This window comes from Homo sapiens, chromosome 11 (assembly GCF_000001405.40).
Source record: "Homo sapiens chromosome 11, GRCh38.p14 Primary Assembly".
NCBI classification, from domain to species: Eukaryota; Metazoa; Chordata; class Mammalia; order Primates; family Hominidae; genus Homo; species Homo sapiens.
In genome coordinates, this window is record NC_000011.10 from 19,942,371 (window position 1) to 19,966,515 (window position 24,145).

The 24,145-nt window shown below is 44.7% G+C and overlaps 1 protein-coding gene across 46 annotated transcripts in view, besides 1 other annotated feature; it reads left to right on the plus strand.

The window, feature by feature from the left end:
• Positions 1–24,145, plus strand: part of NAV2 (neuron navigator 2) — a 776,366-nt gene that overhangs the window by 597,135 nt on the left and 155,086 nt on the right. For all 46 annotated transcript variants that reach the window (XM_017018520.3, XM_047427824.1, XM_017018522.2 and 43 more), the window contains 2 exons: positions 4,031–4,139; positions 6,321–6,710. In XM_017018520.3, the coding sequence (XP_016874009.1) occupies positions 4,031–4,139; positions 6,321–6,710 (499 nt within the window). The remainder of the gene's footprint in view (positions 1–4,030; positions 4,140–6,320; positions 6,711–24,145) is intronic.
• Positions 15,833–16,127: a silencer, noted in NCBI's record as "tiled region #6685; HepG2 Repressive non-DNase unmatched - State 7:EnhWF". NCBI's record gives its function as "represses a minimal TATA promoter and a strong SV40 promoter by Sharpr-MPRA in HepG2 cells {active_cell/tissue: HepG2}" and the evidence as "EXISTENCE:reporter gene assay evidence [ECO:0000049][PMID:27701403]".

Here is a 24,145-nt window from a genome sequence, read left to right on the forward strand (position 1 = left end):
GACACTCATATTTACTGAGCCCTCATTTTGTGCTATGTGCCATATCATCTGACTCTCACCCTAACCCTTCTAGCGAGAGGTTTTTATGTCCACTTTACAAATGAGATCCAGAGAGGATAAGTGACTTGTCCAGGGTCAAGTGGCTAATAAGCAGCATTGCCACAATTTAAATATTTATCTGTGGATAACTGAAGTCCATGCTTTTCCTACAACCCCATACTGACCAAACATGTGTTGTATAATAAACATTTCTTAGACCTCTATAAATTGTGTGGGGGTTACCAAAAGGAAAGATGAGACACCATCCCCAACTCAAAGATCTTTGACTTTCTGTCTGGGTGCAGTAGCTATACCTGTAATCCCAGCACTTTGGGAGGCCAAGGTGAGAGGATCGCTTGAGGCCAGGAGTTTGAGACTAGCCTGGGCAACACATAGAAGACCTCATCTCTGCAAAGAAAACAAATTAGCCAGGCATGGTGGTGCATCTCTGTAGCCCTAGCTGCATGGGAGGCTGAGGTGGGAGGATCTCCTGAGCCCAGGAGTTTGAGGCTGCATTGAGCTGTGATCACAGCACTGCACTCCAGCCTGAGCAACAGAGCAAGACCCTGTCTCTAAAAAATAAAATAGTTGAATTTCTAACGGAGGGTTAAGACCAGCAACAATATGTCATTAATAGAGTGATGGATAAGTAAATATGGCTATTATATTTTGTGCGTGTGGTTAAGGTAATTAGTTGAGGTAATTTGAAAACCTATGCCTAGACTTAGCTTCATAATCAATATTTTCTAAAGGGCCTAGAGCTAACCTAAGAATCAGTATTTTTTTAACAGGCTTATATACATAAAATGTGGCCAAATTGGCAGTAAAAGATTTCACTGATGGCCCAGAAGGTAGATGCAGTTACATTCCTCCAAAGTCATTAGGGGAAGGTATAATAGACATTCATCTTTGCTTTTTTTAAAAAAACACATACATATATATGTATTTTAAAGCACTGGGAGGGAAATGCAAGTTTGACCACTTTTCAGATAAGAGAAAAATGCCTTCCAAATTTCTTTGGGTTAAAAGGTGGAAGGAGAAATTGGAAAGCACTTGCATTTTCAAGTAAATTTCCTCCATGAAATCATGGGTATATCATTTACTCCATCCCAGCCTCCAGGCACCACCATGCCAAGAACGACCTAAGAAAGTTGTCATCTATCTCAGAAGAAAAGTTAATTCTGTTATATTTCTTAGCTGCCTTGTCCCCTGTTAATGGCAATTGTTGGAAGTTCAACTTGGTGTCTGATGTCAATTCTACTTGCTGCTGCTTGATGTCTAATGTAAATTCTGCTTGTGCTATGTTCTAGATGGAGATTTCTTTGAAAATATTGCTCAACGCTTGAAAATAGTCCTAGGCTTTTAAAGACCCATGATTGTGCTTCCTCAGTCTTCTCAGCTCTCCCTAAAATTACTCTGAGGGAGAAAATATATAATTCTATTAATTATTATTGTAGTTATTGCACCTCTCCTCTTCCCTTTGTAAGGCTAAAAGAAACGGAACTAGGCCGTGTGTGGTGGCTCACGCCTGTAATCCCAGCACTTTGGGAAGCCGAGGTGGGTGGATCACCTGAAGCCAGGAGTTCAAGACCAGCCTGGCCAACATGGTGAAACCCTGTATCTACTAAAAACAAAAAAAAATTTAGCCGGGTGTGGTGGCGGGCGCCTGTTATCCCAGCTACTCAGGAGGCTGAGGCAGAAGAATCGCTTCAACTGAGGAGGTGGAGGTTGCAGTGAGCTGAGATCGTGCCACTGCACTCCAGCCTGGGCGACAGAGCAAGACTCTGTCTCAAAAAAAGAAAGAAAGAAAGAAACAGAATTGCCAGAGAAGGCAAAACAAGACTGCACTGTGTCCTAGCTTGTGTGTGGCATATTTCTCATGGTACACTAGTGCCAGCTCAGCTCAAATGCTGCTCAGCCAAGTGTCTTGTGGAAAGTTTTGCCCAGGGAATGGAATACTGTGGTCCTGACAAAGAGGAACCCAGCTGTCTGTTTTCTTTCCTTTTCTTTTCTTCTCTTTTCTTTTGCTTTCCTTTCCTTTTCTTCTCTTTCTTTCTTTTCTCTTCTTCTCCTTTCCCCTTTCCCCTTTCCTCTTTCCCCTTTCCCCTTTCCTTTCCCTTCCTTTCCATTCCGTTCCATTTCTTTTCTTTCCCTTTCCCTTTCCATTTCCATTTCCATTTTCCTTTCCTTTCCTTTCTTTCTTCTTTCTTTTTCTTTTTTCTTTCCTTTTCTCTTTTCTTTCCTTTCCTTTTCTTTTCTCTTTTCTTCTCTTCTCTTTTCTTTCTTTCTTCCTTCTTTCCTTCCTTCCTTCCTTCCTTCCTTTCTGTCTCCCCTCCCTTCCCTTTCTTTCCTTTCCTTCCTTCTTTTCTTTCTTGGCTGGCTGGCTTTCTGTCTGTCTTTTCTTTCTTCCTTGCTTGCTTGCTTTCTTGCCTTCTTGTCTTTCTGTCTTGCTTGTCTTTCTTTCCTCCTTTCCTTCTTTCCTTTCTTTCCTTTCCTTTCCTTCTCTTTCTTTCTTTTCTTTTCTTCCCCTTTCCCCTTTCCTCTTTCCTTTCCGTTCCGTTCCTTTTCTTTCCCTTTCCCTTTCCATTTCCATTTTCCTTTCCTTTCCTTTTCTTTCTTCTTTCTTTTTCTTTTTCCTTTCCTTTTCTCTTTCCTTTCCTTTCCTTTTCTTTTCTCTTTTCTTCTCTTCTCTTCTTTCTTTTTTTCTCTTTCTTTCTTTCTTTCTTTCTTCCTTTCTTTCTGTCTCCCTTCCCTTCCCTTCCCTTCCCTTCCCTTCCCTTCCCTTCCCTTCCCTTTCTTTCCTTTCCTTCCTTCTTTTCTTTCTTGGCTGGCTGGCTTTCTGTCTGTCTTTTCTTTCTTGCTTGCTTTCTTGCCTTCTTATCTTTCTGTCTTTCTCATCTTTCTTTCCTCCTTTCCTTCTTTCCTTTCTTTCCTTCCCTTTCCTTCCCTTCCCTTCCTTTCCCTGCCTTTCTCCCTTCCTCTTTTCCTCCCTTCACTCTCTGTTACCCAGGCTGGATTGCAATGGCACAATCTCGGCTGACTGCAACCTCTACCTTCTAAACTAAAGACATCGTCCAACCTTAGCCTCCAGAGTAGCTGGCACTACAGGTGTATGCCATCAGCCAGGGTTTTGCCATGTTTCCCAGGCTGGTCTTGAACTCCTGGGCTCAAGCGATCTGCCCACTTTGGCTTCCTAAATGCTGGGATTATAGGCGTGAGCCACTGCACCTGACCCCCAGCTGTTTCTTACAGGCTCCCTGCTCTAGAGCACCAGCTGGCTTGTGTTGAGTGCTTATGGTGGGCACTGTGCTAAGGGATCTCCAGGCCTGATCCCAGTTTGTCTCCACAAATGTCCTTTGAGGTCAGTACTACCACTGCGTTCCTTTTAGAAAAGTGAAGTCTGAAGGATAGAGAGGACCAGCACCTTCCCCACAGTCACACAGCCAGTAAGTAGAGGAGCTTGAATTTGAGGTGACATAATACATCTAACAAGGAAGAAGGCAACCTTTCTCTGTATAAATATTTGTGATTAACAGGTGCAGATCTTCTAGCTACTGCAAGCTATGCTTGCACAGTAGGGCCTAAGATAGCTGCATATATCACCAATAGGTGAGAAAACAAAATGCTTCACTCATTTTTGCATGGGTAGAAAATGACTACCTGGTTGGACCTAACCTGAGCATGTCTCTGTTGGAGACACTGTGGAAATGTGTTTACATCTCAGACTAGGCACTTGGCTTCTCCCACATGCTAGACTTCACCTATTTAAGGAGGCACCTGAAGGAAGAATCTCCCTGGACTTCACACTTCCTTTGGGCTTCCATTCACACTTCCATTCAATCATTCATTCATTGTCAAATCCTTATTAAGCACCCACAGCAAGGCACGTGCTGAGCATGGAATATGGTTATGGTCATAGACATGGATGCTGCCCTTATGAAGCTCATGGTTGGTCAGAGAATTAAACTAGTCTTAACCCTCATCTTTCTAGGGGAAGATCCTGAGGCTCGGCGGCTGCGGACAGTGAAGAACATCGCTGATCTGCGGCAGAATTTGGAGGAAACCATGTCCAGTTTAAGGGGAACTCAGGTTACACACAGGTATCTGCAGTGTGAATTACTTTACTGAACTACCTGGTATCCTAATTTTCTCCTGTGTTTGTTCATAGCAGTAGCAAAGCGATTTGGTTATAATGGATCATAGCCTCGCTTTCCAAATGTGCCGGAATTCACAAAGAATGCCATATGACATGCAGAAGAGAGTTATAGGAAATAAAAAATTAGTATAGACAGATTTTTCCCAAAAGCAGAAGGTTGCTAAATCCATTCAACAAAGGATACTGTAGACCAGCTCTATTTAAATTTCACTTTACTTGCATTTTCTATAACTGTCTGGTGCTGTGGAAATGAGCAGGTGAACTATATTTGACCTGTGTGATAAACTGAATAGCTTGAATTCCTACCCAATCTTCTGATATGCAGCACTCTGTAATATTGTTAGTCATGCACGTACATAAAACATGTAAGGAAATATTTATAAAAACTTATGATCATGTTTTAACTCTGATTTAGTTGGATGAAATCTAGTATTACATTGGAAACATCAGGTGCTTTCATTGTTGAACAAGAAGTTGAAGAGGATGCAACCCTGGGATGTCTTTTGTGATTTGGGCAGGAGGAGGTTTTATAGTTGTAGAAATCAAGGAAAGTTCTTGTTGTCCCCACTGAGCTCCCAGGGAGTCTCCTTTGCTTCTCCAATTTCAGTTTCTTTGATAAGTGGCTATGGCAAGGAAACCACAGGGCTTCCCCACTGTCAGCAGTTTTGGAAGATTGGGGTTAACCACTGTGGGTTCCATCTCCAATAGGACCGAGGCCCAAAACAAGGGGTCCAATCTGAGAAAAATAAGGCCACTTCCAAGATCAGAGGAAAACAAAAACAGCTTAAGGGACCAAATTGGCTCTTCCAGAGGAGAGTAAACTCGGGGGTTTGGGGGTGGTACCCTCTTAAACCTTTAGGTATCTGAATGAAGGGGAGTCAGATATTGGATCTTGTGACTCTACCATTAGGTGTGAAACATCCCTTTTTCCACCATCGTCACTGACACTGACTTAATGTTGGCATAGCAGTTTGACGGTGGGATGGTAATTATGACAGGAGGGAAGACTTCAGTGGTTTCTTCTGCAGGGAAGAATCTCATTCTCTGCTCAGTGAGGAAATTCCAGTTTTCCTGTGAAGGTGCACACGATAGTCTTGACTGGGCTGCAAGAAACTGCAGCGCTGTGAAAACAGTGGAAGACAGACTCTGCCAAGAGATTGAGCTCATCCTTGGGCAGATTCTAGTCCATGTAACTTGATTGAAGAGGGAACTCAAGCCCAGGCATTTACCAATCTTTCCAGGCTTTTTGGATGAAATATGAGAAAAGCAAAAGTCTGGGGGAAGTGAACTTTAGAGGGTTAGAAAATTAGAACTGTGTCCACTGCTCAGTTGGGAGGGAGCTGAGGATGTAAAATGTGGTATTAGGAACTCCCGGTGGGTGGAGAATCCCACCCTTAGGAAAAGAAGGCTGTGATGCAACATCCTAGAATGAATGGGCAAGCAGGAACCTTCATGCCCCATCCTAATCAGTTCAGCATTTTCTAGTATTTTCTTTCCCAGATTGGAAAGAAAATTCTTATTTTTTTTTTTGCCGGGGGGGATGGAGTCTCACTCTCTGTCGGCAGGCTGGAGTGCAGTGATGCAATCTCAGCTCACTGCAACCTCAGCCTCCTGGGTTCAAGCGATTCTCCTGCCTCAGCTTCCCGAGTAGCTGGGACTATAGGCACATGCCACTATGCCCAGCTAATTTTTGTATTTTTAGTAGAGATGGGGTTTCACCATGTTGGCCAGGATGGTCTTGATTTCTTGACTTCATGATCCGCCCTCCTCAGCCTCCCAAAGTGCTAGGATTACAGGCACTGCATCTGGCCTGGAAAGTGAGCCACTGCATCTGGCCTGGAAAGAAAATTCTAGTAGTTGAGGTCATTTAATTAAAGTAATTCGTTTCTTGTACCATGTTTTAGCAGGGAAAGTCTCCGGTAGGCTTTTCAGAATGTTATGTAGATGTGTAGCTTTCCTTTCTCATTTTGAGCAGAGGAAGCACATCAGGTGGTACATGGGGGCTGGCTGTTTTATCCTATTTTATATATGAGGATTATTTCATAATTCTAAATAATTAAAGAACATATAAACTGTGAAGGATACTAGGTACCTTTGAGTCTAATCAGGTTGGTTTTGTTTCTAGCACATTGGAAACCACGTTTGACACCAATGTCACCACGGAGATGAGTGGCCGTAGCATACTCAGCTTGACAGGGAGGCCCACACCTCTGTCCTGGAGACTGGGCCAGTCCAGCCCTCGGCTCCAAGCAGGAGACGCCCCCTCAATGGGCAATGGGTATCCCCCTCGAGCCAACGCCAGCAGGTTCATCAACACTGAGTCAGGTCGCTATGTGTACTCCGCCCCTCTGAGAAGGCAGCTGGCCTCCCGGGGCAGTAGTGTCTGCCATGTGGACGTCTCAGACAAGGCAGGAGATGAGATGGACCTGGAAGGCATCAGCATGGATGCCCCCGGCTACATGAGCGACGGGGATGTTCTGAGCAAGAACATCCGGACCGATGACATTACAAGCGGGTAAGTACCCGGGGCCGCCCTTTCTCCCAGAGAGAAAGAGGGCTTGGCACCTGGCTTCTCTTTTGTAGGGCTCTATTTGATTCTTCTGGAGGAGGTCAAACTGCCCACCTGAGTTTCTGCTGTCCATATCAAAGGCTGTGTGACATGGAGGGAAACGCTGCTCGGCTGTGAGTCTGAAGGCCTGGGTAGTCCAGGCTTGGCCAGTAAATCACAACAGAGTAATACCTGAAAACAAACCATGTCGCATCAGTCCCTTAAACCAAACCTTGCACTGAGGATGGACTACTTGCAGGTTAGACGGCCTCCCCGGGCCTATGAGATCTGGCCTGTACCTGCCTCTTAGATCTCATCTTCCTCTCTCCTACCTATTTCCCTGCTGCAGCTGTCCCTTCCAATCTTCAATCTTGTCAAGCTCTTTCCGGCCTCACAGCCTTGCACTCTGTTTCTCAGCCTGGATTCTGCTTCCCAGATCTTTGCATGGTAGGTCCTTCTTGCTGCTCAGCTGACACCTCCTTGGAGGGGCCCTCCTTGACCATGCAATTTGAAGTAGGTGTGTGTCCTGCCTCCTGCCCTACGCATCTCCACCACTCTGTGGCAGGCTCCTTTGGAAGATTATCACTATTCGAAATTAGCCTGATTATGTGTATATCCTCTGTTGCCTCCCGGCCCCCTCCTACTTGCAGCAGTAAGTACCATAAAGCAAGGACTTGTCTTGCGCGTTCACTGCAGAATCCCCAGTGTGTTGTGTATAATAGGAGCTCATAAATATTGCTAAATCAATGAACACGTGAATCAGTGAATGAATGAACAAATCCAGCCTCCCTGTTTCTCTGTGTGCTCATATATGAAGTGAAGGGGAGTGATGAGATGATGTCTAAGGAACCTTTCAGGTGGAGCCTGCCATGACTGTATAGCACGAGGCCTGGCTGGTAACTTGTTCATGCTCCCCTCTCAGATCACCCTGCAGACTTAAGGTGCAGTGAGTTATTTCACTTGCCTGGGACTTCTTCCTTCATCTGTTAACATGACTTGCCCAGAAGTTCTCCAAGATCTTTTCCACCTTGAATGTTCTAGCTGTTAAAGTTACAGATAAGAAAAAGCAGAAATACTAATTGTGCCACTCATTTCCATGAAAATAATGATCAAGAACCCAATGGGTGAGCCAGTATTTTTATAATTTAAATAATAGCTAACTCTCCTATATGCCAAACACAGTGCTAGGTGCTTTACTTTTATACTCTCTTGTTCTATCTCCATAGCAATCCTTTGAGGTAGATGATATCATAGTCCCCATTTTAGAGATGAGGAAGGTGAAGTCCAGGAAGGTTAAATAACTTGCCCAAGGGCTTGCAGCTATTAGGGACAGAGCGTAATAGTGTACCATCTTGCCAACGTTTTATTGCTGTATTGAAATACTACAACTACTAGAGTTTATTTCAAAATGAATTTGATTTTTCTCTGTTCTACCTCTGTGACTAGAAGTGTTCTTTTATTTCATTAAAAGCTGAGGCATAGAGGTGCTTTGGTTTTCAGCCTGTTACTTTTAGAACTATCTTGGGTAGTGAAATCTTTGAAAACAGAATCCACCAAACCTTTTGCAGGGGCAAAAGGAAAATTTCCCCTTTACCCTCTGAAGGTTCACTGGAAAATCAGCTCACAAAAGGCAGATTCATTGGAGAAAGGACATACAAATTTACTTAATGTATATACACAGAAGCCTTCAGAATGAATACCCAAAGATATAGGGGAGATTGTCCAATTTTATGCTTAGGTTCTACAAAGTACGGGCAGCTGTGTAGAAATATGATTGGGCAAAAAAGGTATGATCTAATGCTAGCAGATGGAGTGGGGAAACCAAGCAAGGTTCTTCTTGGCCCTTCTGAGAAGCATTCCTGCCTTCTGCGTATGGGGCAGAGCCCTCTCTGTAATGGAGGTTTCTACAATCAAACAAGGTGGGTCAGATAATTTCCTTATGCCCAGGCTTCACACAGAAAGGAAGAGGGAAAATTAGAATAATGTTTGGAGGTTTTATGACTGGCTTTGGGGAAAAAGGGTTCTGATTTCTATGGCCTACCTAGGGGCAGAGGGATTCTAGTTTCTATGGCTGGCCTCAGGGGAAATAGGATTGAGAGACCAGAGGGCAGAAAAAGGTCAGAGAGAAACTTTCACTTCTGAGGCCTTTATTTTGTAGTGTTTTCTGAGCTGCCCAACACCTTACAGTACAACAAATTTCTGCTGCCTGGAATGGCTGGCGCAATTAATGGAGTGAGAAATTAAATGACCTGGTCAACTTAGAGCATCCTTTTTTTTCTAGTTTTCCATAAACATGAAAAACAATAGCATACACCTATTACAACTGAATTTCACATAATGTAATCTTTGTATTATTGTTTAGAAGACTTTTGGTATCTAGCATGGACTCAGATTTATTATTATCAATTCCCATTTTCATATACTACCGAACAAATTGTGGCTTGTTTTGAGGTTTTTGTATCCTGTAATAGTTGATTTTATTGTCGAACCAGTCTTTCAATTCTAAAAAGATGGCCAGTGAATTCATTTTGATGTAGTGTTGATTATGTCCACAAGGTGGAGACATTGAAACACTCTAACCTGAATCTTAGTGATAGCCGACTGAGAAACTCCTGGTTTCTTTAACCATCCAAACCAGAGCCTTTACCTTTGCTTAAAAGCACCGATGTTTACATTTCAGTTCCAGCTTTGCCAAGTTTACGTTTTAGCATGTGTGATAGCACTTAGAGCAAGTGTAGATAAAAAGTTCAGAAACGTAAGCAAAGCACCCAATTACTGAAACTGGAGAACTTTGGTCTGGTTTCTCTTCCTGTTCCTTTTAATGTAGAAATGTACCCTCAGCATGAGGAGAGGTAGCCCAGATGGAACCTAATGCTCCTTCTAGTTGTAGCATTCTAGAACACTTGTTAAGCATGTATCCACTCTGTGGAAATGCATGTGAATTTCTGCTTTGAGGCCAAGTTACCAGTTTGTGTTTACACGCAGAGTTCAGAGCAAGACACTTAATGTCTTTTCTACTCATCATATTCTTCCTATAAACTGGCAAGGTTGTAAATATTGAAAGGCTGGTTATTCTGTGCTTCAGAATGTGCTGAATAAGGCATTGTTGAGGCAATTGATGTAGTGAAAGGGAAATAGACTGGGATATCATATTGGGCAGACCAGGGCTTAAACCCTCCCCAACCTCTTGCCAGCTCTGTGACGTTAGGCATGTCATTTGACTTCCCTGAGCTTTGAAGTGCTACAATTAATATGGTTTTTAAACCTTCAGCTGGATTTCTGTTTGCAGTTGTATCTGATAAAGACCAAAATCCCAGTCGGGGTCTAGATGCCTTATCTCCCTCAAACATCCAGGCGCTTGGAAACAATGAAATGATTAAAGCTTTTGTCCAGATGTTTATTTGGCTTAGTAGAAATGTAGCCTTGATGTATGAGTAATATATCAATCTGTACAGAGGCTCTTTGAGGAAAGTTCTTGTAAAAGTTTATAGTAAGTTTATTTAGAAAATCTGATATGGAAGTAAATTCTGGTTTCTAAAAACCTAAGACCTCTGTTTTTAAAGTGATGCTGTACTTCGGCTTGGCATAACAGCTATTTTTTGATGCCTCTAGTTCATTTTCTGTACTGGTGTGTGCATGTGCACCTGTGTGTATCCTTCAATTCTCCCTATGGTAGGGCTGAAATTACTTTATTACCATATTACCATGTAGTTTAGCTAAGAATTAAGGGCAAATGCCTCTTACACTTTGTGTGTGTGTGTGTTCTTATATTGTGCCTGGTATATACCAGGCATGTCTAAGTACTTTACAGGTTGTTATCTGATCTCACTCATCCCTTTTATTGGATTGATAAATTGGGCATTGGCTGTAGTGGGGAGGAAATTAAAATAACAGATGAAATTTCTCTTACTAGGTTTTGATCTGTGAAGTCAATCTTCTACTCATATTCTAAAAATTCAAAGTGCCATATGGTACAGAATAAAATTAAAGGGGCAGACTCCACGTCCATATGTTTGAAATGATTTTTTTTTTCTTTTCAAAGGAGGCACTGAGTTGTGTAATGTTCCAAAGTATAAGTAGATATCCCTTTATGGACAAAAAAATGACCCTTTAAATATAACATCAGAAGTTTCTCCCTCTCAGAACCTTTGATGGCTTCCCATTGCCTGTGGGAACAGATCTGAATGCCTTAACTGACTGTGGAGGCTCTTCATGGCCTTTGCCTCATCTGCCTTCGCTGACTTGCCCCCGGCCACATTTCCCTTCACACACTCCAGACTTCCCACTGCTCTAGGCTACCTGCCACCACCAAAAGCTGGTTCCTGCATTTGCAAAGCCCTGCCTCTGGTTCCTGCATTTGCAAAGCCCTCCCTCCTGGGACATGCTGCTTTCTTCCTGGAATTCCTTTCCCCTCATGCCCATCTGACTAATCCTGAAGAAAATGTCTCCCCTGTGATGTCCTCTGGGATTCCCCCAGTCACAGTTAGCTCAGTCTCACGTGTTTCTGGTAGTCTTGGTTCACACCTACCCTTATATATAAGCGTTTCACTTTGCATGGGAAGTGTCTGAAAGCCACTGGATGGTACTGAGGAAAGAGTATGTTCTTAAAAGGCAGACAGACTTGAGATTTAATCCTGGCTCTGCCAAGTGAACTGGAACAAGTTCTTAACCTTTGAATATTAGAGATAGAGCTTGAAAAGAACAGGCAAGAATCTGAGATGCACAAGAAATGTGCACGCGCGCGCGTGTGTGTGTGTGTGTGTGTGTGTCTTTCTCCACTAAACTTGGAGTTCCTAGCAGGCAGACAGCACTCATTATTTTTCTAAACCCAGAGACTGGGACTTAGCAGGTATTTAATATTTTGAGAATGGTCTATTCTTGATGCCTACTCTGGCAGGACCTTATGCTTATATAACTCGCTACCACACGCTATGAAGCTCAATGGTTCTATTTACAGAACACTTGGAGAAAGCCAGCTTAGCCTGTGGTGTCCATCTAGTGGTTGATAGAGGCTGTGGTCTCAATTCCTTTTCACTGTGAGTCATTGTGTTGGTTTAAAGCTCCTGGCTGGTGATATTTAGGGCTAAGGATGTTGGCTTTTGAGAATGAGGCTGATCAATAGCCTAGTGTAGAGAGAAAACAGGATGTAAGCATTTGGTCTTCCACAGTGGCTTTTTAGGGGCTGCTGTCTTCCCTCCTTGGTGGCAGGAATTACTCCATCAACAAATATGGGCACAGATGCCTGCGGGGAGACTCCGTTCTTCAGAAATTGAGGAACTCATTCATGCTGAATTAATTAAAGTCATCCCTCAGTATCCATGAGGGATTGGTTTCAGGACCCCCAGAAAATACCAAAATCTGTGGATGCTCAAGTTTTTCATGTAAAATTGCATAGTATTTGCATATAACCTATGTAGATCCTCCTATATACTTTAAATCATCTCTAGATTACCTATAATATCTAATACAATGTAAATGCTATATGGATAGTTGTTATACTTTATTTTTGTTTGTATTATTTGTTCATAAGAGGGTGCTTCGTGCTCTCATGCATCATTTGCATGTATAATACCTTGTATCTTTTCCTTTATTGCCTGTCAGGTCATCTCCTCTCTGATTCCATCCAAGCAGAGGTAGTGACCTTTCTGTATGCTTCCTTGTTACTTGCTGTATCTGTATTAGCACTGGTAGCACTACATCAGAATTGGTTTATTAGTGTTTGTATGTATGTATGTGAGTATATGTGTGTGTGTATATGCATGTGTGTGTGTGTATGTATGTGTATATATATGTGTATATATGTGTGTGTGTGTATATACATATATATATACATATATACATATATATATACATATACACACATATATATATATATGGGATAGGAAAGACAAAACCCAAACCTGTTGTAAGTTCTAAAGGTTAGGGTCAAATCTGTCTTGAATGCTCCTGTATCTTCATTGGCTGGCACTGTGCCTGCCTGTTGCATAGTAAGCAGTCAATAAATATTTGTTGGCTGGGCATGGTGACTCACATCTGCAATCCCAGCACTTTGGGAGGCTGAGATGGGGGGATCATTTGAGCCTAGGAGTTCAAGACCAGCCTATGCAATATAGTGAGACCTGTTGCAACAAATAATTTAAAAGCTGTTCATGGTGGCATGTTCCTGTGGTCCCAGCTGAGGTGGAAGTATCACTTGAGTCCAGGAGGTTGAGGCTGCAGCGAGCTGTGATTACACCATTGCACTCCAACCTGGGTGACAGAGCAAGACCTTGTCTGAGAAAAAAAAAATGTCAAATGAATGCTACAACTAACTTTAAAAATGGCAAGGCCAACCATATTCCGCTAAATGAATTTGTGCCTATGATTGTAGCACCATTGAGTTTGAGGACGTAGCCACATGTCTTTCTTCTTCTGGGCCCTGTCAGTTTAGACTGCCTCTAACCCTGTGAGCTTGACATTGTCAATACAAGAAAAAGAGAGAACTAGGGGCATTTGCCATGTGGACTGATGGAAGATAGACATGCCCCTGTTCATCTCTTCCTTCTTTCACTGAACATTATGGGACAAATGTGTGAGGTATTTCTCACCAAGTCAGCATAGAACATAGCAGACAGTACCCTGAATCAAAGGGGGTAGATTAATAGCATGAAAGGCTCTTTCTTATCTGGTGAATATGTCCAGACCAGACCTGGAGTGACCTTGATAGGCTGTTGTTTCTGGCAGACTGATAGGAGAGAAAGCCAGAGTGCTCCTTACAGCCTAACGCACCCTGGAGCCAAGATAAATGAATTTAGGAGAGGCTGTCCTGAAAGGCACTGATTTATGGCAGGTTCCAGCAGGGTGTGGCAGGCATCTCGAGATTTGGAAAGGATAGATTCTCGTTTCTCTAGGCCGATCCCACTGAAACGATCTTGGCTTTTGGCGCTCTTGGAACGCTTGGGAAGTTCAGGTTGCCAGCCAGCCAGTGGGCTGGTCTCAGTGGGATTAGGAAGACTGAGCTGTCAAGGAAAGGTAAAGACTCAGCTATGTGGACAGACCCATCTGTAGGGCTTGGAGCCAATGAATGGAAAGTCTCTCTTCCCAACACTCAGACACTAAATATGTGGGTTGCTTTCCCCACACAACCAATTCTCCTACACCAGCTGAACATCCTATAATTCAATTCAATTCGGACACAATCTACCTAGAGTTAGCCTAGACGCCACAGGTTAAGGGCTCAGTTCCACAAGATTACCACACCCCCGACACACATACACACACACACACACACACACACACACACGCTCTCTCTCTCTCTCTCTATCTCTCCAGATGCCAATCACAAGTCATAGGTCCCAAGGTTACCCACACTTCTGTCCAACTTGGCTGCAAATCAGGAGTTCCCATGACCTCCCTTACATTCAGAAATTTGCTAGAATGGCTCAGAGAACTCAGGGGAACACTTATTTACTGTGGCTGGTGTGTTATAAAGCATATGGTAAAGGATACAGTTGAACAGCCAGATGAAGAGGTGCATAGTGCACGGTGTGGGGGCGGTGCAGAGCTTCCATGCCCTCTCCATGAGTGCCACCATCCCAGCAACACTGTGTGTCCACCACCCTGGAAGCTCTCTGAGTCCCATAGTTGAATGTTTTTTTGGAGACTCTATTATGTAGGCATGACTAGTTAAATCATTGGCCATCAGCAATTAAGTCCATCTCCATCCCCGCCTTACTGTCTCCTTACTGTCTTGGAGGTCAGAGGGCAGGAATGAAAGTTCCAATGCTCTAATCCCATGGTTGGTTTGTCTCGCAACCAGCTCCTATCCTCCAAGAGTCACCTCAGTAGCATAAGCCCAGGTATGTTTGAAAGGGGTTTGCTATGAATAACAAAAGATGCTCCTCTTACCCCTATCAAGAAATTCCAAAGACTTAGGAGCTCTGTGCCAGGCACTGGGAGCAGAGACCAAATATGCATTTCTCATTATGTCACAGCAAGTCACTTGCCCCTAATGCACTGCCATCCTCTTAAAACAGACAGACTTAAAAGATGCAATGAGGCTCCAAGATGAAGGAACAGGCCCAGAGTAGCCCAATAGGTTGGTGATGGGGCTGGGCCAGATCCTGTCTAGGGTTCTTTTTGTGCCTCTCTGCTTCCCTCAGTGTCTACTTGCTGACAGCTCTTAATAGTGTATGAATTCACAGAAATCATAAATACTTTTCCCTGTCTGATATTTTCCTTGGTGTTAAATATCCCAGGCAAGTACAATGGTCTCTTTTCCTAAGCAGCTCTCTAGGTAGAGTGAGCAAGCGCAGAGTCATGCAGAGGGCAAGATTAATTTCCCCAAGTGCTGCAGAACAAATGACAGCTTTCCCTGCATGGTTGTGATGTTGTCTGACATGGGTGGTTTGGCAGATGGATGGCTCTGGCTACTAATATCAGTCATCCCTGATGGCTGGGGCAGCATAAACTGAACACCTCTTCTCCCTCCACGGTGGACCCACTTGATGTACTGAGTGCAGGAAACCTACTAGCCCTTATCGGCGTCTGGGTAGGCAGTCTCATCAGAGGAGAAAGAATAGCTGAGCTGCTAGCCCACTGGAGGAGGAGAAATTCTCCAGCACTCCCATGCGCACTCTGTCCACTGCTGGTGACGACAGACTTAGCAGGCTGAGACCTGGATTAAAAAGAGATTTACTGGGGGACAGCCCCATGGAGAAATGAAGTGTGGTCCAGCTTTGACGTGGGCAGCCCAGACTGCCACAGATGTCTAATGGCAAATGCTGGCTTAGTAATTTATGGGGAAGAGAGAGAGAAAAAAAAATAAATGGGTGTCTTGTCTTCTCAGGAAACTAGGGTTGGGCCTCGATTTCTTGGGAATTTCCTAACTAGCTTTGAGGCTTGAATCCCTTCCTGCCTCCCTCCCACCCCTGCATCCTGTGGGAAGGAAAAAGAAGACGGGAACAAAAGTGGGTGCTTTGGGAGAAGGAAGTCTCAGGCCCTTGTTGAGAGGCCTCCAAATGGGCTGTTCCCTGCCTGCCACCCACCCTTACAGATGTCCTCCTCCTCCCATAGCTTTCCAAAGCACAGGGTCTTCTGGCCTTGGACACTGGAATCCTTTCCTTTGGCCTACCTTCTGGGTAGGCTCCAGGCAAAAGGCAGTAAAATCCCGTGTAAAAAGTGTTTATTGAGTTTGTTATATGTTAAAGACTATGCTAAAAGCACTGAGACCAAGGGAAATGAGTAAGACCAGGTTGCCAAGATCCTAACGCTGTGAAGGAAAGATCATGCAACAGGGCACTGTGTAGGTCAGCATAAGAGTGGTGAGTGAAGGAGGCCAGTGAGGAAGTGATGGCTTGTGTTGGGACACAAACACCCTTACCATAAGGTGAGGGTCGGTGGGAAAAGTGTGGGCTGTGGAGTTTGACCTGCAGTCCAGGCTGGTTCCACTACTCTTAGCTGTGTGTCCTTTAGTAACCTATTTAATTTCACTGTGCCCATCTCATAGGTTTGATGTGAGGTTTCAGTGAGATCATGGTGTGTACTCTCAGCCCAGTGCCTGGCATGCATGCTTTAAGCACTCAGCAGGGTTCGCTACCATATTGTCCACCACTGTCACTACCAGCAGCAGCGGTGGCACCTTGAGGACATGTGAGCTGGGCCTCACAGGATAAACAAGGGCCCAGGCAGACCAATAGCCTAAGGACATACAGGCATTGTCATGTTATTATGAGGTTGGTGCTTGGGTGGGTTGCAGATTCAAGATGGAGGTTGGGAGGCAGTGGGCTCAGGTTAGAAGCTATTCCAGAGTCCACGCAGCAGAGCCACAGGGCTGGGTAAGGCCAGGGCCAGGGGAACAGATGCACAATGAGTTTAAAGACACTTTTTACATTAAACTCAGCCTGATGTGGGGGCCAGTTACACAGGGGACACAAAGGAGACAGAGAAGATAAGGATGGCTCCCCAGCTCCAGCCTGTGTTGTAACTGCTGGGAAATAGCTGATGTCTGTCCTCAGCATCCTTTGTCATTTCCTAGCTTTCCCTCTTGCATGTTAGCACCCACCCTGTGCTCCCAGATTGTCTCAGGCCTCTCAGGCCACCCCCAGACCAAGGTGGGTTGAATGTTTAAGGAGAGTGTAGAATATGATTCCAGGAGCCTTAGGAAAACCCAGTCCCACAGCCTGCCAACTCTTGTCCCCGGAGGAACTCAGGGCGCAGAGGGGAAGAACACCCTGCGTGTCCATAGTTCATTGCAACCCAAGGCAGATGGTGGTGAATGTTAACATGAAGAGGCAAAATGTGGGGGCTCCAAAGTGGATCTGAAACTAGAGCAGGTCCTGTGGGGACCTTGTAAGTTCTCACTTTCACATTCTGGGAAGCCCACTGTGCTCATCTGCAAATGAGAATAATAATGCCTGGAGTTATGGTGACAATTGAATGAGGTGACACAGGCAAAGTGCTAGCCCAGTTCCTGGGGCATTGCAGACCTCACCAAACTGTCCTCATAATGAGGGTGTTTCCTAGATTCAATCTGATATAACCAAATTCAGCGCATCGTGCAGGATAAAAGTACTTAACATATTTCATGCTCTTCCCCGCATGACTCCTCCCCAAGCCCCAAAGGGTAAGAAGCTAGTGAGCCCTCTCCTTAGACATAAGACCATAACTGATGTTCATGTGGGAAGCATGAACACGATACCCTCCAGCCGACAGCTACCGTGCTGGGCGAGAGAAGCCCGCTGTGACTAATCATGCTTAGCAAGGTGCTCCTTCTTCCCCCCCCACCATCTGGACTGTCTGCTGTCTTGTTGGAACGGACCTCCTGCCCTTCCGGGGCTCTTCACTGGCAAGCAGCATCAACAAAACACAGCCAGCATTTGGGTGTTACTGAGACTGGCCCAGATGTTTAAGGGAAATTCCACCTTAAGTCCATTAATCAACATGACCGAGACTCTGCATGTTAGTTGAATCAAGTTGGCAAGTATTTAGTAAGTTCTAGTCAGTTCCAGGCCCCTGACTGTGCCCTGGGGCTTGATGGACAAGAGGAGGAGTCGGTTATTTGTTCTCAAAGCTGGACCGTTTGATACTGTACTTTTTGTGCCAACTTTTGATCATTCAAGGTTCTTACCAGGGGCCCATGAGCTCACACTTAGTGAAGTGTGCTTACATGTACAGGAAAAACATATTCCATCCTACTCTGGAGCTCCGGGTGGCTTATGGGGGCTGATATGTGTGGCATCCCTTCTGTGTGCTAGGCATCTTATCTAACTCCCACACTCTGGCTTTATACTGTTTTTATTAATAAAGAAAATGAAGACCCTAGAGGGTAATTGTTACTTAATTGTCTTAAGCCCATGGAAGAGTTGAAAAAGATGGCCTACCATTTTATTGTCACTTTCCCTTTGTATCCTGGGATTCCAGTGTGACTTTGGTGCTCTTGTTGCTTTGCTATAGTTGATGCTGTCCTGCATCCTTTAGGGCCACCCTTTTTTAAAATTTTATTTATTTATTTATTTATTTATTTATTTATTTATTTTTTGAGACAGAATCTTGCTCCGTTGCCCAGGCTGGAGGGCAGTGGCACAATCTCAGCTCACTGCAACCTCTGCCTCCCGCATTCAAGTGATTATCCTGCCTCAGCCTCCCGAGCAGCTGGGATTAGAGGCACATGCCACCATGCCCAGTTAATTTTTGTATCCTTAGTAGATGGGGTTTCACCATGTTGGTCAGGCTGGTCTCAAACTCCTGACCTCAAGTGATGCACCTGCCTTGGGCCTCCCAAAGTGCTGGGATTACAGGTGTGAACCACTATGTCCAGCCCAGGGCCACCCTCTTTGCCTGGAGAGTAGTGGTCTGCAGGCATCTTCTTTCTCTACTCAGTGTTATGCAAATGGACCTGGAAGACAGAGACCCGAGGGCTCACAGACAGTCCCTGAGCCCCCCTGTTTTTCCTGCTAAGCCTTTGCATAGTTCTCATCTAGAAAACCAAATCCATATTTCTTTTCTTTTTTTAATTTAAAATTTTTTTCTCTTTTTATATAGTGATGGGGTATCACTAGGTTGCCCAGGCTGGTCTTGAACTCCTGGGCTCAAGCAGTCCTCCCACCTTGACCTCCCAAAATGCTGGGATTATAGGTGTGAGTCACTGCACCCGGCCCACGTTTATTTTTATCTTAAGCATGTAGATCACTCAAGTTGAAAATACCCTTCCCAGTATTTTTCAAGGGCCAGCAGCTACAGAGTGGCTCAACAGATTTATGATGGGAAGGTTGGAGAATACCAAGTTCGAGTTGAGGTGAATATGAAAAGAAACATTTGGACAAGGTTGGGAGTATTTTGGCCCTGAGACAGTCGGCCCATGTTGAAAGACTCAAAACAGAAGGCTATGTGTGCCTGTGCTCAGATCAAGATAAGAAGCTTAAGTTTTGTTGGGACCTCATGAACCTCTCATCAAGCTGTTCTGGAAGAAATGTACAATGGAAATGGAAGAAACTTTAGAGATAGAGGCAGAAGACCTGACTTCACATTTCTTGATTGGCAGCTGTGACCATAGGGAAATTTCTTCCTTTCCTGAGCCTCCCATGTGTTAAACTGTGGCGCACCTCTCAGGTGTGTGAGGAGGAGTAGAGGAGATGGTGTTTGTAAAGTGTTTGGCACAGGTAGCATGGTGGCTCCTTTAGCCCTATTGGAGTTACTACATCTGCTTGCCTTTTTAGTCTTTTATTTTATTTAGGACATTTACGAAGATGATGTCAGGCACAACATCTTATTCTTGAGCACAGTGACCAAATAGCTCCTGGCTGGATCAGAGTTGGTCTGTGCATTAGTCAAGGTTCTCCAGAGAAACGAAACCAATAGGGTGTGTGTAGGTTTGTGTGGGTATGGGTGTATGCATGTGTAGAGGAATTGGTCATGTCATTGAGCAAGTCCAAAATCTTCAGATGCCCTCGTTGCAGGCCAAGAGGGGATTCTACCTTTAGACTGCCTTTAGACTCGAGCTGCAACATCAACTCCTCCCTGGGTCTCTCAGCCTATTGGCCTGCCTACTGGCTGAGAGATCCAGAGTAGAGTCAGTGTGGCAGCTCAAATCTAAAGGCAGTCTTGAGGTAGAATCCCCTCTTGCTCAGAGGACATCAGTCTTTCAAAGCCTTCAACTGATTGGATGAGACCCACCTACATTATGGAGGATGATCTGCTTTACTCAGAGTCTACTGATTTAACCGTCAGTCTCATCTAAAATATTCCTTTGCAACAATATCTGGACTCTAGTGTTTGACCAAATATCTGGGTATTGTGGCCCAGCCAAGTTGACACATAAAATCAGCCATCCCAGCCTGTAAGCAGGCCTTGCCATATGATCAGTGGGAGTGAATCATGTAAGGGAGGAGGCAACTCACCTGTGGCCCAGGGTCAACACATCAGCTTTAATAAACATCTGCAAGGGCTCAAAGCTAACGCACCCTGCCTGGGATGTGACCACAGATCAAGACTCTATGCCTGCCTTGGAAGAATCATTGCATCCCTTCCTTCGTCCCCTGGGTCCTGGTAAGAAATCTCCCTGAGAAATGGAGGTTTTGACCTTTCCTCTTAATCCTGAAATAACTGCAGAGTGAGACAGACACACTGGCATGGACACCTCCAGAGAGCTGATGATTTTTGAGACCCAAAAATGAAATAAGATTCTGAGCCTAAGGAGAGGCCCCAAGTTTGTCTCCAGAGCCTTCTACCTATAAATCAAGCCCACATTCACTTCTTGATCTTGGGAACAGTGGGAGACAGGGTCTGTGGTTATCTCCACTGCATCACTGGAGTCTTGTATCCCTTTCCCAGAGCTTTGTGCTTGTAATCATCCAGTCATCTGTTTCGAAATTAGAAAGCTCACATACTTGAGCAGTGAAGTTTAAAGGGTGAAGTCAACTCAAGTTGTCAGAAACATGGGACGAAATAAATGTGGTGTTGGCTCTATAGAGAAGGGGGAAGGCCACAGAGGACTCAACAGCGCCTGCTAACCCATGACTTTCTGCCAGTCCTGCTGTGGTGGCACTGTAATTCATAGTCGCTAACTGCTTTGGAGAGTTTATTATGTGCTAGGCACTGTGTTGAGCTCTTTACATGCTTTTTCTCACTTACTCTTTCCACTAGTTATTTGCAATAGAGACTGTTTCTCGTCCCAGTTTTACAATCAAGGGGGCCAAAGCTCTGAGAGGTGAAGTTACTTGGCCGGGCCACACAGACAGTAACTGGTGGAAGCAAGCATTCAGCCAGGCTGATTCAAAGCCCGGGATCCCAAGCACCCTATAGGATGGCAGTTTACTATAGCTAGTCCCCACACTCTGAATATCCGAATATATGGAAGGCAAGACCAAAAAGGAAGAGTGTGCACCTTCTGAACATCGGAAGCCCTGGATACTCCCAGTGCCATTTGAAGGAGCTATGAAGGGACCTGAAAGTGCCATTTGGAAGGGTAAGGTACAGAGGAGTGAGTTATGTAGGAACTGAAAAAAATAGCTGGAGAATGCTTGTGCAAGGACCATGGAGGCTGTGGCAGGGGCAGAGGCAGATACTTCTCTTTGCCTCGAAAGCAATATTATGTGTTTAATTTCAATTAAATGTCACAGGTCTTTACTGTAGCATGAGAAACACTTGTGTCAACATTCCCCAGTGCTTATGCAGAAAGTGAATGGGGGCAAAACTGGTTCTCTGCGTGCTGGAAATGAAAACCGATGAGGTGCTCAGAGGCAGGAAAGTTCAGATCAAGAGCCAATTCTGCACAGTGATTTACCGAAGCGCCTTACCGCGATGTGGCTTCCTGTTGTTAAATCTCATGAAAGTGGGCATTTCAGTCACCTATGGTTTCTAGACATGATACCCGAATTTCTCTGAGGAAATTCCACTCCCTCAGCCCCTCACCCACTGCAAACCCAAACAAAACCCACAATTACAAGCTCAGCGCCACCCTGAGACCTCAGAATTGTGCACGGCAAGTTAGAGCTTTATTAATCGAGTGACTTTTGCCTTACTCTTTGGGAGTTGTTAATTAAAACCACTCAACCATTGAGTTGAGAGAGAGGGAGAGAGACAGAGATTGAGGACAGCTAACAGACTGGATTTTCTCCCTCCTTTGCAAGCTGGTGTAGCTATTTTAGAAGCTGACACGGACGTTACAGTTGACTAAACCATGCACCAGATTTGTATGTGAGGCTCCTTGGGAACAGCTTTCATTTAATGCCCTGTAGCCAGGCCCTCAGGGTACAAAGAACCTGCCTAGCCTCTGACCAAGTATATATAACGGTTAATAATAATGACCATTGTAATAATATTAACACGACTAGCTACCGTTTATTGAACACTTTTAAATGCCAGGCACTGTGCTTTATATACATTATCTCTTTTCATCCTCTTTTTTTTTTTTTTTATGAGACAGGAGCTTAGGAGCTCTGTTGTGCAGGCTGGAGTGCAATAGCATGATCATAGCTCACTGAAACCTCGAATTCCTAGGCTCAAGCAGTCCTCCTGCCTCAGCCTCTTGAGTAGCTAGGACTATAGGCATGTACCACCACACCCAGCTAATTTTTTTAAAACATTTTTTGTAGAAATGGTGTCTTGCTATGTTGTCCAGGCTGGTCTCAAACTCCTAGCCTCAAGTGATCCTCCTGTCTCAGCCTCCCAAAACGTTGGGATTACAGGCATAAGCCACCACAGCTGGCCTCATTCTACTTTTTTTTTTTTTTTTTTTTTTTTTTTGAGATGGAGTTTCACTCTTGTTTCCCAGGCTGGAGTGCAATGGCACGATCTCGGCTCACCACAACCTCTGCCTCCCGGGTTCAAGCAATTCTCCTGCCTCAGCCTCCTGAGTAGCTGGGATTACAGGTGCGTGCCACCACGCCTGGCTAATTTTGCATTTTTAGTAGAGATGAGGCTTCTCCATGTTGGTCAGGCTGGTCTGGAACTCCTGACCTCAGGTGATCCACCCCACTCAGCCTCCCAAAGTGCTGGGATTACAGGTGTGAGCCACTGGACCCAGCCTCCTATTTTAATCTCTATGTTCTAGGAACTCCTCTTCCCATTCTCCTGTTGAGGACACAGGGATTTGGGGGGGCGGGGCCACTGGTAACTTGCCTTAAGGTTGCAGAGGTGGTGAGCTAGGGAGCTGGGACTCAAACTTGGACAGCCTGACTTCAGAGCCTGAATTCAACCACTCATTTCAGGACTTTCACTGAAGCTGTGTACACATGTCTAAAATGTAATCGCTCTTCTTTCCCCCAAACCTGTTTTTCTTCTGTGTTTCCACCATCCATTTTTTTTTCCCACACCCAGAACCCAGAATCTTAGACTCTTCCATTCTCTTGTTCATGGAACGCCAGTCACTGAATTTGATGGATTCCATTTCTTAAGTATCTCTTACTATGGTTTTTCTCTCATCTTGCTGCTAATATTTCTCACCCAGATGATGACAATTCATCCTTTCACTAATTGCCTTTCTTCTGATCCCAATGCCCATCCAACAAATCCATTCCACACATTGGTGAGAGAGATCTTTCTAGAGCACAAATCTGATTATATTCTCTGCTTACATTCCTCAGTGGCTCTTCACTGCCTGCTGAGAAAACTCTGTGTTTTAGTTACTGTTTCTGTACAACAAATTACTCCATAATGTAGCTTCTTGAAACTACCATTTCATTATGTTCATGGGGTCTCTGCACCAGGAATTGGGACAAGATATAGCAGAGATGGCATATGTCTGGTCTGCCATGTGTGGAGCCTCTGCTTGGAAAACAGCAGGGCTGGCATTGACTTGATAGCTGAAGGCTAGAGTTATTCCAGAGTTTGTTCACTCCCACGTCTCACTCCTGGGCTGGGATGACTTGAAGGTTAAGATGGCTGCAGCCTCTCCACATGGCGTGGCTTCCTGGGGATTGGCAAACTTCTTACATGGAGCTCAGGGCTCAAGGGCAAAGGGTACAGTGAACAATGCAGAAGCTGCCTCACCTTTTATCATCTAGCCTTGGAAGGCAGAGACTGTCCCTTCTGCCATACTGTATTGGTCAAAGCAGTCACGAGCCCTCCAGATTCGAGAGGAAGGTGCATAGATCCCACCTCTCAGTGGGAGGATGGCAAGGTCACCTTGCATGTGGGATCCAGAGATGTTGCTGTGGTCATCTGTGGCGAATACAGTTCACAACAATATATCCCCATACCACCCAGTGTGATATACACGGCCCTCCCTCCATAGTCTCACATTGGAGTGTCTGCTCCATGGAGACACAAGCCTTGTCTTTCTTGTACATTATGTATCCCCAGTGCCTAGCACAGAGCATGGTGCATCATGGGCCCTCCTTTTGCATTTGAGAAGCTAACAAATGATCAACTTGCCTAGCCTCATTTCTTCATTTCCTGCCATCTCCTTCATCCCCTCACTGACC